Source organism: Homo sapiens, chromosome 2 (genome assembly GCF_000001405.40).
Source record: "Homo sapiens chromosome 2, GRCh38.p14 Primary Assembly".
Lineage (NCBI taxonomy): Eukaryota > Metazoa > Chordata > Mammalia > Primates > Hominidae > Homo > Homo sapiens.
In genome coordinates this window covers 24,137,541-24,150,962 of record NC_000002.12, presented here as the reverse complement: position 1 = coordinate 24,150,962, position 13,422 = coordinate 24,137,541, and the positions used below count along the sequence as shown (strand labels likewise).

At 41.0% G+C, this 13,422-nt stretch overlaps 1 protein-coding gene across 3 annotated transcripts in view; it reads right to left on the bottom strand.

The window, feature by feature from the left end:
* Positions 1-13,422, bottom strand: part of FAM228B (family with sequence similarity 228 member B) — a 92,806-nt gene that overhangs the window by 18,676 nt on the left and 60,708 nt on the right. Inside the window, exons 4-7 of one of the 3 annotated variants that reach the window (NM_001145710.2) lie at positions 12,863-13,054; positions 11,513-11,593; positions 4,128-4,215; positions 3,877-4,033 (exon numbers count right to left, since the gene is read on the bottom strand). The exons of 1 other annotated variant lie outside the window; for it this stretch is intronic. In NM_001145710.2, coding sequence (NP_001139182.1) covers positions 3,877-4,033; positions 4,128-4,215; positions 11,513-11,593; positions 12,863-13,054 — 518 coding nt within the window. The remainder of the gene's footprint in view (positions 1-3,876; positions 4,034-4,127; positions 4,216-11,512; positions 11,594-12,862; positions 13,055-13,422) is intronic. One more of the 3 variants, NM_001291328.2, reaches the window with a different exon arrangement.

Here is a 13,422-nt window from a genome sequence, read left to right as displayed (position 1 = left end):
AACATTCAAGTAGAAGAAAGTAATAGAACATCAAGCAGATTTAACCCAAAGAAGACTACCTCTAGGCATTTAATAATCAAACACCTAAAGATCAAGAATAAAGAAAGGATCCTAAAAGCATCAAGAGGAAAGAAACAAATAACATACAATGGAGCTCCACCACATCTGGCAGCAGACTTTTCAGTGGAAACCTTACAGGCCAGGAGAGAGTGGCATGACATATTTAAAGTGCTGACATGGCCAGACATGGTGGCTCATGCCTGTAATCCGAGGATTTTGGGAGGCTGAAGCAGGTGGATCACTTGAGGTCAGGAGTTCAAGACCAGCCTGGCCAATGTGGAGAAACCCCATCGCTATTAAAAATACAAAAATTAGCTGGGTATGGTGGTGCACAGCTGTAATCCCAGCTACTTGGGAGGCTGAGGCACAAGAATCACTGGAACCTGGGAGGCAGAGGTTGCAGTGAGCCGAGATTATGCCACTGCACTCCAGCCTGGGTGACAGTGAGACTCTGTCTCAAAAAAATAATAATAAAATAAAATAAAGAAATAAAGTGCTGACAGAAAAAAACTTTTACCCTAGAATAGTATTATCCAGAAAAAAAAATATCCTTCAAGCATGAAGGAGAAATAAAGACCTTTCCAGACAAACAAAAGCTGAGGGATTTCATCAACACCAAACCTATCCTATATGAAATGCTAAAGGGAGTTCTTTAATCTGAAAGAAAGGGATGTTAATGAGCAAGAAGAAATCATCTCAAGATACAAAACTCACTGGTGATAGTAAGCACAGAGAAAAGCACAGAATAATATAACACTGCAATGGTGGTGTGCAAATACTCTTATCTTATTAAATAGAAAGACTAAATGATGAACCAATCAAAAATAATTACAACAACTTTTCAAAAAATAGTATAATAAGACACAAAGAGGAACAACAAGAAGTTAAAAAGCAGGGAGACAAAGTTTAAAGTTTTCACTAGTTTTCTTTTTGTGCGTTTGTATATGCAATCAGTCTTAAGTTGTCATCAGTTAAAAATAATGGGTTACAAGATAGCATTTACAAGCCTCATGGTAACCGCAAATCAAAAAACCAGTAACAGATTTACAAAAAATAAAAAGAAAGAAAGCAGGCCAGGTGCAGTGGCTCACACTCCCAATACACACAGAAACCAATACTATGGCATTAGATTTTTGAGAGAAGAAAAGCCTTATTACAAATCAACCAACAAGCCGGGCGCAGTGGCTTACACCTGTAATCCCAGCACTTTGGGAGGCTGAAGTGGGTGGATCACCTGAGATCAGGAGTTTGAGACCAGCCTGACCAATATGGTGAAACCCCGTCTCTACTAAAAATACAAAAATCAGCTGGGTGTGGTGGCATGTGCCTGTAGTCACAGCTACTCAGGAGGCTGAGACAGGAGAATTGCTTGAACCTGGGAGGTGGGGGCCACTGCACTCTGACCTGGGCGATAAAGCAAGACTCTGTCTCAAAAAAAGAAGAAGAAAAAAAAACTACAATGAGTTATCATCTCTTCCCAGTTAAAATGGCTTATATCCAAAAGTCAGGCAATAACAAATGCTGGCAAAGACGTAGAGAAAAGGGAATGCTTGCACACTGTTGGTGGGAATGTAAATGGGTACAACTACTATGGAGAACAGTTTGGAGGAGCCTCAAAAAACTAAAAATAGACCTACCACGTGATTCAGCAATCCCACTGTTGTGTACACACTCAAAAGAAAGGAAATCAGTCTATTGAAAAGATATCTGCACTCCCATGTTTGCTGCAGCATTGTTCACATTAGCCAAGATTTGGAAGCAACCTCAATGTCCATCAACAGATGAATGGATAAAGAAAATGCACTTACACGCAATGGAGTAATATTCAGCCATAAAAAAGAATGAGACCCTGTTATTAGCAACAATATGGATGGAACTGGAGGTTATTGTGCTAAGTGAAATAAACCATGCACAGAAAGACAAACATCATATGTTATCACTTATTTGTGGGATCTAAAAATCAAAACAATCGAACTCATGGAGATGCAGAGCGGAAGGATGGTTACCAGAGGCTGGGAAGTGTATTGGGAGGGTAAAGGGTAAGTAGGGATGGGGTTAATGGGGACAAAAAAATAGAAGGAATGAATAAGACCTCGTATATGATAGCACAACAAGGGGACTATAGTCAATAACACTTTAACATACATTTAAAAATAACTAAAAGGGTATAATTAGATTCTTTGTAACATGAAGAATAAATCATTGAGGGGATGGATACCTCATTTTACATTATGTGACTATTATGAATTGCATGCCTGTATCAAAACATCTCATGTACCTCATAAATATATACACCTACTATGTACCTACAAAAATTAAATTTACAAATTAAAAAAAAAGGTATCAAGACTCCTATTCCTATACTAAGCAGAAATCTTGCTGTCGTTGGAAGACAGACAGGACACTGCCATCCAAGAACAACCACAGATACAAGGTCAAGTTTGGCTGCCACAAGGATAAGGAAAAGGAACCTCAGGAAAGTCCTGCTTCTGAGGCCTAAGCACATAGGGCTTGTCTAAAACTGAAGCTCCATGAGAAAAACATGGGATATTCCTCTGCGTCCACTAGAAGCCTTGCAATAAGCAACATGCAACAGTGGTATACTCCCGTGGGAGAGGGAAGAGCATGGAGAGAATACCCCTCCACTTCTATGATGCCAGCTTGCATGGATAGCTGAAAACTGAGGAAGGAGCAGAAACACTTGAGAAAATCCCTCTGGCACCCCACCCGCACTCTAAGCACAAGGAAAAGCAGCCTAACCACTGGAGGTATTCAAGCCTGTGATGCACTAAAGGTAACAATAGCAATAACATTACCCAAACCCAACTCAATTCCAACTAGATAAGGCTAATCCTCCACACTAATGCTTGACAGAAGAAGAGGCATATCCATTTCTAGACATAAATACTCCATGTACACCATTCTTCTACATCAAATATCTGGCATTCAATAAAAAATTACAAGACATGCAAAAAAAAAAAAAAAAGGCAAGGCAAAACAAGCCATTGTCAAGAGATAAAGCAATCAAGAGAACTAGATTCATAAATGACCCTAACATTAGAACTACCAGATAGGGAGTTTTAAATTATTAATATGGTAAAGAATCTAGTGGAAAAGGTGGACAACATGCATGAACAGATGAAGAATTTCAGAATAAATAAAAACTATCTAAAAATTCAAATGGTAATGCTAGAAATTTGAAAATCATGATATCAAAGATGAAGAGTTCCTTTGATGGGCACAGGACACAGCTAAGGAAGGGCAGTGAACTTAAAAACAAGTCAGAAATCATCCAACTGAAAAACAAATAAGGAAAAAAAGAGTGGAAAATCAGAACAGAGTAAGAGCTATGGCACTGTGAGACATCATCAAGTGATCTAATATACATATAATTGGAGTCTCAGGAGGAAGAAAAAAAGTAGACAGAACAGGAAATAAGAAATATTTGAAGTGATAATGGCCTAGGATTTCCCCAAAATAATAAAAGACATAAAACCACACATATGAGAACCTCAGAGAACATTAAGATAGACAGAAAAAAACAAATATAAACAGATCATAATCTAGCTAATGAAAACCAAAGAGAAACAGAAAATCTTGAAAGTACCCAAGAAAAAAGAAACATCACATACAGAGAAACAAAGATAAGAATTATGGATTTTTCATTGAAAAATGAAATTTTCAGAGTGAGACTCTGTCTCAAAAAAAAAGAAAAATGATAATTTTAAAAAATCATAACTATGAAAAATGTTATATCAGTCTGAAGAATTTTCAAAGTCCAAAAGGTTCTATAATTTCTAGTATATTAACCATTACCTTCTCCTTCTACAAAATTCACTTTCTATGTATCTTGTAGGCAGTTTCAGCCACTCGTTTGGAGTTATAAAGTGCCTTGAATTAGAAATTTGTGGGAATCTGGAATGCAGCTGAACCTTCTCAACTTCTTTGAATTCCTTTATTGAATATATTTTGCCTGAAGGAAGAATAAAAATCTAAATTAACATCCTTAAATGCATCTGCCATTGCTCTTGGGCTATGAAATCACATAACAATTAGGAACTAAGTACCAGTCTCACACTGAAGAAGAGTTCTTTTTTCGTTATCCTTGTCATATTGTGCTTTTTTCAAAGGGTCATGAAATGGTGGGATGGTAACCTACAAGAGAGGCACTTGTTTAAGCACTGAGTTGCAAGTCTGAGTAGTAAACATTTTCAGTCTATTCTAAGCATCCACATATGGATGGCTCTTATGCCGGGAGGGTAAATAATATGGTATTTACAAATAGCAGGCTTACCATTATATTTATTTAATATATTACAAAGAGATGGGGGTATATCAATACCTCTCTTAAAGGCCCTCCAGTCAAAGAGACAAAGTTAGCTCTTGTTTCAAAGTGTGGGTTCAATCTTCAAAAATTATTTTGTTGTTACCATATGTTCCCAAATTTTAAAAATTCCTTTCCCATGCACAAAAGAAAAAATATATCCATATATTCATCTTAATCCCTAACATTGATAATCAACAACATAACTAACATTACTCAAAACTTAACCAAGTTATTCAAAATATAGATCATTTGTGAGCCAAGGTATGGAAGCACTGAATCTATGTTAATGGCCAATATTATCAATATCAAAATGACAGTTCTACATATGAAAACAGGATTCATGAACAGCAACATTCACCATTTAGGCCTAGTCAGTGAAATTCTACCACAAGCTTAAAAGGTCACTCATGTATCTTTCTCATGCTCATCAGGCTAGTTTTTCAGGGGTAGTTACAATACACATCATGACTATTAGAGTTAAACGGTGATCAGACTGCCCAGTATAATTTTGCTTTTACAGAAGTTATGAAAAGTGCTACTCATAAAATATTAAGAAAATATTAACTCACTATAAAAAGGAACAAAAAGGCAGGGTGCAGTGGCTCACGCCTGTAATCCCAGCACTTTGGGAGGCCGAGGCAGGCGGATGACAAGGTCAGGAGATTGAGACCATCCTGGCTAACATGGTGAAACCCCGTCTTTACTAAAAATACAAAAAATTTAGCCAGGCGTGGTGGCGGGCGCCTATAGTCCCAGCTACTTGGGAGGCCAAGGCAGGAGAATGCCATGAACCCGGGAGGTGGAGCTTGCGACACTGCACTCCACTTGGGCGACAGAGCAAGACTCCGTCTCAAAAAAAAAAAAAAAAAGGAACAAAAAAAGGTACTATCATTTTCAGGTATTTGTATGTGACCTATTCATATATGAAGAGCAGATCAAATTTTAAATGACATTGGACTCTGCTGCTGGAGAGTTATTGTGTTCCTTTGGAGGTGTCAGAGCCTTGCTTTTTCACGTTTCTTGTGTCCTTACATTGACATCTGTGCATCTGGGGTAATGGAGGCTTCTTCCTGTTTTCTGGATTGCTTCCGTAGGGGAGGACTTTTTCCTGGAGACGTGTCTATGGTGTTGGATGGGTAGGACACTTTGGCTTTGATCCTGGGTGCGTGCAACAGTATAGTCTCCATATTTCTTCAGCTGCAAACAGCGTCAGTGGTGTCTGTGTTTTCCTTGGTGGCTTAGGGTACAGTTGTTGGAGGCTGTGGTGAGGCTTTGCGGGGGATGGGGACACTGGGCAGGCCAGTCCCCAGCCTCAGCGGAAGCAGTGGCAGGCCAAGGGTGCCTGTCCTTGGTCCTCAGAGCAGTATACAGTGGCACCGGTGTTACGGGTTCAGGTGGGCCAGTTCTTGGGTCTCCAGGTGGCTTGCTTGGGTGCATGCAGTGGCTGCGGTCGGCCAGGTGGATGGGCAGGTTCTTGAACCCCTGGGCACTGGTCATGTTGTGGGCAATGGCAGTAGCAGTGACGAGACAACCCTTTGTCTCCAGAGTGGTCCACACGGGTGTTGGCAGTGGCTACAACAGGCTGGGTGGGCCAGTCTCCAGACCACCAGTTGGCGCGTGCAGGAGGTTGCCAGCTGTGGTGGTAGCAGCAGGCTTGTGGGCTCTCGCCAATGGTGGTGGATGGGGCAGGGCAATCCCCTAGCCCCCTGCAGAGTACTCGGGTGGGGGTGCTGGTGGCTGTGCTGTGGACCTGCTGCTGTGGAGGGTGGGGTTGCTTTCAGTGGCAGCAGGCATAGGGAGGCAGTTAGGGAGTGTATGTTTCAGCCTAGGTGATGCTGCAGGTGGGGCCTGTCCTCTGGGTGCAAGAAAGTGAGCCGTGGCCCCTGTGCTGAGGTCAGCAAGGTTGCTGCCAGCTGCTCACACCTCGGCCCTCTCCATCTCCGGGCAGCCCCCGTGTTAGTCTCAGGGCCGAGCAGGCTGCCTCACCTCCCTCTCCTTCCTCACCTTAGATGTTTCCTTGTCACTTCTCTGTGGAATTCCAGTGTTCCTCTTAGATGACGTGTTCCAAGTACAATTTTCTACTCGCTATTTTGGTTCTTCTGTGGAGGAGGTAAATGTCAGATGCCTCAAGCCAGTCATCTTGAAGCTCTCCGACAGGGTCTCGCTCTGTCGTCCAGGCTGGAGTGCAGTGGCTCACCGCAGCTTCAACCTCCTAGGCTCAGGCCATCCTCCCACCTCCACCTCCCGAGTGGCTGGGACCACAGGTGTGCGCCATGTCCAGCTAGTTTTTAATTTTTTTTGTAGAGACAGGTCTCCCTATGTTGCCCAGGCTGGTCTCGAATGCTGAGTTCAAGTCATCCTCCCACCTCAGCCTCTAAAGTGGTGGGATTACAGGCATGAGCCACCATGCCCAGACCAAATTTTAAATTTTAAATTGAAGATAGAAACAAACAACAATCTAAAGTTTTATCGACAATTATAAGTCCGGAGACACCTATCTCTACTGACAAGCACTTACACATCATAAATGGAGGTATTGTAACCCAGTGGTTCTGAAACTAATTTTTTTTTTTTTTTTTGGAGACTGCTGCCTAGAGTGCAGTGGCACAATCTCAGCTTACTGCAACCTCCGCCTCCTGGGTTCAAGCAATTCTTCTGCCTCAGCCTCCCGAGTAGCTGGGATTACAGGCGTAAGCCACCGCACCCAGCTGAAACTATTTTATTTCAAAACATTGTTGTTATATCCAAATAACTTTTGTGTATATGGCTTAGATCTATTGATATTTACTATATTAGAAATTAAAACAGAAAATTTTAAATTGCTTATTAATTTTAAAATAATAATAATATGCCTGTTATGTTTAACATATCTTTCTATGAAAAATAACTCTATTTCCTGAAACAAAAAAATGAGAAGAGTAACACTGTTTTACATTTTTGTAAACTTCTTTATGTCTTGCTTAATAGAAGACAGGTGGATTCTCATATCTGCTTCTGCAAGCAATCTGTTGAGATTTGTTGTTTTAGTTGTCATATATGAAGAAAATCCATATAGAGATACGTAATTGAAAAAAGTAGGAGTGGCCAGGCATGATGGTTCATGCCTGTAATCCCAGCATTTTGGGAGGCCAAGGCGGGCGGATCACGAGGTCAGGAGATCAAAACCATCCTGGCTAACACGATGAAACCCCATCTCTACTGAAAACAACAACAACAACAACAACAAAATTAGCCGGGCGTGGTGGCGGGCGCCTGTAGTCCCAGCTACTCGGGAGGCTGAGGCAGGAGAATGGTGTGAACCCGGGAGGCGGAGGTTGCAGTGAGCCGAGATTGGGCCACTGCACTCCAGCCTGGGTGACAGAGCGAGACTCTGTCTCAAAAACAAAAACAAACCAAAAAAGAAAAAAAAAGAAAAGAAAAAGGTAGGAGTATTTTAACAGCCTTTTTAGATCATCGTGGATATTTGTTTTTGATACTATACCCAAACTCAGTAAGAGGTAGTTTCTTAAAGGTTAGTTATGATGTGGAATCTGAAACCATATCTATGAATTTTTCATACTCTTCTACTAAGTCCATTAGTCTATCTTGCACTTCGAATGAATCTTTTTCCCACGCGTAATTTTGTAACATTTGGGGGAAAATTGGATCATGGAGTTATGCAAGATCTTCCAAATGTTTGTACATTTCATTACTGAATATCAAAGAATCACATTCATTAATATCAGTACCAATTTCATCAGAAAGGTCTTTTGAGTATTGGGCTACTGTCACACTTCTGATGGTGAATATGAGTTTTCCAAAATTCCAAATGTTTTGCTTGAAAGCTCACCTTTTATCATTGGCAACAAATATTGTCAGTAGTTTTTCTCAAAGTGACAAGCTGACTTCATTCATTTTCCAGAAAATATCCGCCAAATACCCAAGACTTAATAACTATAGTTTGTAAGTCATTCTTTCAAGTAAAAATGGTGTTTCATGGAAGAAAAAAAAGCAGCCAGTTCAGCTCACAATTCAAGCAATCATCCATATTTCAGTATGCAGCAGAAGTGCTGTTCGCATACTCCCATTTCATCACAAAGAACATCTAAAAGATGTGTATTGAAGGAGCAAGACTTAGTAAAGTTAATAATTTTTAAGTAGAGCTGCACAAAGCACATGCAAAGAAATGCTGAAGATCCATCTGAAGGGAAGGAATCAAGCCTCTATGTTCCTAAAGTCAGATCTGTCCCACTCCCAGGAAAGGAAGATAGAGAGGGTCATTTGGGTTGGTCTGAAGCCAGGTGCTCTGGGCCATCTCAAGCCCTACTGTTGAAATAAGAGGCAAGATGAACCTTTTCTGTACTGGGGAAATTGAAAGGGGGAAAGGAGATAATGTTGGATATCTCCACTTGATAACCCAGAATTGAGAATAAGGACAAGCTTACAGACTCTGTAGCAGCTCAGGAGCAGGGTCTGGGAAGTGCCAGGTCCATAAAGAGTACAGAGCAGGGCGCCAGGAACCCAGCCTGCAGAGCCTACCCGAGACGCTCTCAGGTGGAGTCTCTGCCAGACATGGGCAAGGACCTGGATCTGAAGACATGGATTACCAATGCTGGGTCTACAAATGGGGCCAGCACCTGAGCCACAGCATGTGACCGTAAGGAATAACAATCATAGTACAACCTGGGCCTGGGACCAGTGATGTGCCCCACCAAGAATTGGGAGGCTGTGGGACCACTTTGTAGGATGACACAAGCCCACAGCATGACTGTACAACTCAAGGTTGGATACCTCCAAAAACAATTAATATTGGACTTCTCACTGATTTGGACATGTGAGGGCCAATACCAGTTCTAACAAAACCTCTCTAAAAAGGGTAAAAATTATCCCCTAAATACCATTTTAAAAACTAGTATCTAGGCCAGGCGCGGTGGCTCACACCTGTAATCCCAGCACTTTGGGAGGCCAAGGCGGGCGGATCACGAGGTCAGGAGTTCAAGACCAGCCTGATCAACATGGTGAAACCCCGTCTCTACTAAAAATACAAAAATTAGGCCGGGCGCGGTGGCTCAAGCCTGTAATCCCAGTACTTTGGGAGGTCGAGGCGGGTGGATCACGAGGTCAGGAGATTGAGACCATCCTGGCTAACACGGTGAAACCCCGTCTCTACTAAATATACAAAAAAATTAGCCAGGCGTGGTGGTGGGTGCATGTAGTCCCAGCTACTCAGGAGGCTGAAGCAGGAGAATGGTGTGAACCTGGGAGGCGGAGGTTGCAGTAAGCCAAGATCACGCCACTGCACTCCAACCTGGGTGACAGAGCAAGACTCCGTCTCAAAACAAAATAAAACAAAAATTAGCCAGGCCTGGTGGCGTGTGCCTGTAATCCCAGTTACTCGGGAGGCTGAGGCAGGAGAATCGCTTGAACCCAGGATGGGGAGGTTGCAGGAGCCGAGATCGTGCCATTGCACTCCAGCCTGGGCAACAGAGTGAGACTCCGTCAAAAAAAAAAAAGGTATCTATTTTATATGTGCAAGAAACCTTATTAACAAATAATTTGTGTCACTAAATTCACTTGAATGCAATGCAATTATATTTTTTCAGCCATAAAATTTTTCTTTTTTTTTTTTTAGACAGAGTCTCACTCACTCTGTTGCCCAGGCTGGAGTGCAGTGACACTCAATCTTGGCTTACTGCTGCCTCCACCTCCCGGGTTCACGTGATTCTCCTGCCTCAGCCTCCTGAGTAGCTAGGACTACAGGTGCATGCCACCACACCCGGCTAATTTTTGTATTTTTAGTAGAGACAGGATTTCACCATGTTGGCCAGGCTGATCTTGAACTCCTGACCTCAGGTGATCCACCCGCCTTGGCCTCCCAAAGTGCTAGGATTACAGGCATGAGCCACTGCGCCCGGCTGCCATAAAATTTTTCTAGAGATCTATTGTACAATATGATGGCTATAGTTAATAACAAGGTATTGTATTCTTGAAAATTGCAGAGAGAGAAGATTTTAGGTTTCTTACTTAGAAAAAACTGGTGTTTGTGATGCAATGTATGTTAATTGGTTTAGTCATTCCACAATGTGTACATATTTCAAAACAACATTTTATACAAGATAAGGCCAGGCACAGTGGCTCAAGCCTGTAATCCCAGCACTTTGGGAGGCCAAGGAGGACAAATCGCTTGAGGTCAGGAGTTTGAGACCAGCCTGGCCAACATGGTGAAACCTCATCTCTACTAAAAATACAAAAATTAGCCGAGCATGATGGCACACGCCTGTAATCACAGCTACTCAGGAGGCTGAGGTGGGAGAATCTCTTGAACCCGGGAGGCAGAGGTTGCAATGAGCAGAGATCGCGCCACTGCACTCCAGCCTGGGTGACAGAGTGAGACTCCCTCTGAAAAAACGAAACAAAACAAAACACCACATCTGTGCTCTGCTATTTACAGCTGGGTGACTTTGACAAGTGACCTGAATCTTACTTGTCTCATCTGTGACTTACCTCACACAGTAGCAGCAAAGGTGAAATAAATGTGAAAAAAACCCTAAGACTTGGTTAATCCTTCAGTGCAAGGTTAATTAATTCTGCTATTAGTAACAGAATATCATGCAATGAAGAAAATTATATACTTATATTTTGAGAAAGAAGCAAATAATAAACTATTGAGGGAGGGGAAGCTCATTATAAAACCAAATGTAACTCCATTCTTATAAAATAAAAATGTGAATACATACACACATATAGAAAGAAGTCTAGATAGATATACAGAAAAATGTTAATGAGTTAACATAATGAATTAATTCTGGGTAATAGAATTTTGGTTTTTTATTTTCTTAATTTGAAAATCAATTTTCTCATTTATCTATCATGAAAATGTGTTACTTTTGTAACAAATTTAAAAGTCTATGGAATTTTTAAACGTTACCTATTACCCAATCATTATCCAGTATTTTCCACTTTTATGGAGATTTAATTTACTTTGGCCTTTGGCTTTTTGTTCCTTTCTAAGATCAGGCGATGGGAAACTATGCTTAAAATGTTACTGCACTTTTAGGGAATCGCTTAAGGACTGCTCATATATTAGGGCTGCTCAAAACAACCAAACACATAATACCAAAGTTAAAAAAAAGAAATCTACCCTACCTTCAGAAAATTGGGGTCCTTCTTGCTCATATAAAAGGGATCATACTCTTTTGGATCATAATGTTCTATAAATGCATTTCCCTATAGCAAGGAAATAAAACGATACACAAGAACAAGAGGTGCACAGTTAATTTTGAGCATATCAGGACTTGAGAGTCAAACACATAGTATCATTCTTATGCTTGAAAGCAGCATCAGTGACAAATGCAAAAAGAAAGACAAGGCTACATTTTAAATTTAATTTATTCAAGCAATCAGGTATAGTGAAGGAAGGAATCTACTTAAAATTTGTAAGATCTTAATAAAGAATGTTGGAACACTAAAAGATTTGGGAATTTGTTTTTAAATGCTTACTAGTCAAACATCTCAGATTTTAAAAAAATGCTAGAAGAACAGCTATATTTTAGAGCTTCGCAAATAATCAAGTTCCAGAACAAAAGAAAAATATGTCCTGAAACTAGAGTCCAAATTATTTATTTTGTAAGTATAATTTTTTTTTTTTTTTGAGACAGAGTCTTGCTCCATCACCCAGGCTGGAGTACAGAGGTGTGATCTCGGCTCACTACAATCTGCACCTCACAGGTTCAAGTGATTCTCCTGCCTCAGCCTCCCAAGTAGCTGGGATTACAGGCACCCACCACCATGCCTGGCTAATTTTGTATTTTTAGGAGAGACGGGGTATCACCAGGCTGGTCTCGAACTCCCAACCTCAGGTGATCCACCTGCTTTGGCCTCCCAAAGTGCTGGGATTACAGGTGTGAGCCACACACCCACATTTTTTAACTTGATAATTAAAATTAATAATTACATGGGGAGGGCTGGGCACAGTAGCTCACACCTGTAATCCCAGCACTTTGGGAGGCCGAGGCAGGCAGATTACCTGAAATAGGGAGTTCGAGACCAGCCTGACCAACATGGAGAAACCCTGTCTCTACTAAAAATACAAAATTAGCCAGTGTGGTGGCACATGCCTGTAATTCCAGCTACTTGGGAGGCTAAGGCAGGAGAATTGCTTGAAGCCGTGAGGTGGAGGTTTGCAGTGAGCCAAGATCGTGCCATTGCACTCCAGTCTGGGTGACAAGAGTGAAACTCCATCTCGAATAATAATAATAATAACCACATGGGGAAAACACAGAAAAATGGTTCTAATGTAGACAATTAAATCTAATCTTCCTTTTCTCTCCTTTCCAAATGTCCTGGGTTTAAGAATACTTTATGCTATTATGTAACAGGGTATAGATGATACATATGTAGAGGGGACAGGGACAGACTGACTGAATGATTATAAATGAACAAAGATGACATTAGGTCTAAATCAACTGAAAAAAGCATCAAATGATCTCTTAGTACCTTTTTATTTACATGTTTTAAAAAGCCATCTAATTCCCCTTGCCTCCTTTTTTTAATCTTCTTATGTGAGCAAACTTTTTCTATAATTTTCTTCTGAAGAGGATCTGCCACACAGTCAACCCATCTTTTATATAACATCTCCTTTCTTCTTGCATTTAAGAAGGCATGATGTTGTAAATACTTATCTAGTTCCTAGTAAACAGTGGTAGAAAAGACAAATATATTATCCTAAAGCTTTCTTGTTCTAAAATTTTCCAAAACTTAAACTTCATAAGTTTAAATTACTCCTAAGAATAACCCACAGAGACATTCATTAATTCAATCGTTTCTTTGGCTTTAACTTCTACTATGTGACATACACTCTGCTGCAAACAAGGAAAACACAGGTATTTGGGGCAACATGCCTGCTCTCCCTGGGGAGAAAGACTAAAGAACAAATCAAAAGCAAGGCAAGGTGGCGCCTGCCTATATTTCCAGCTACCTGGGAGGGTGAAGCTAGAGAATCACTTGAGCCCAGGACTTCAAGGATGCAGTACACCATGACTGGGACACTGCACTCT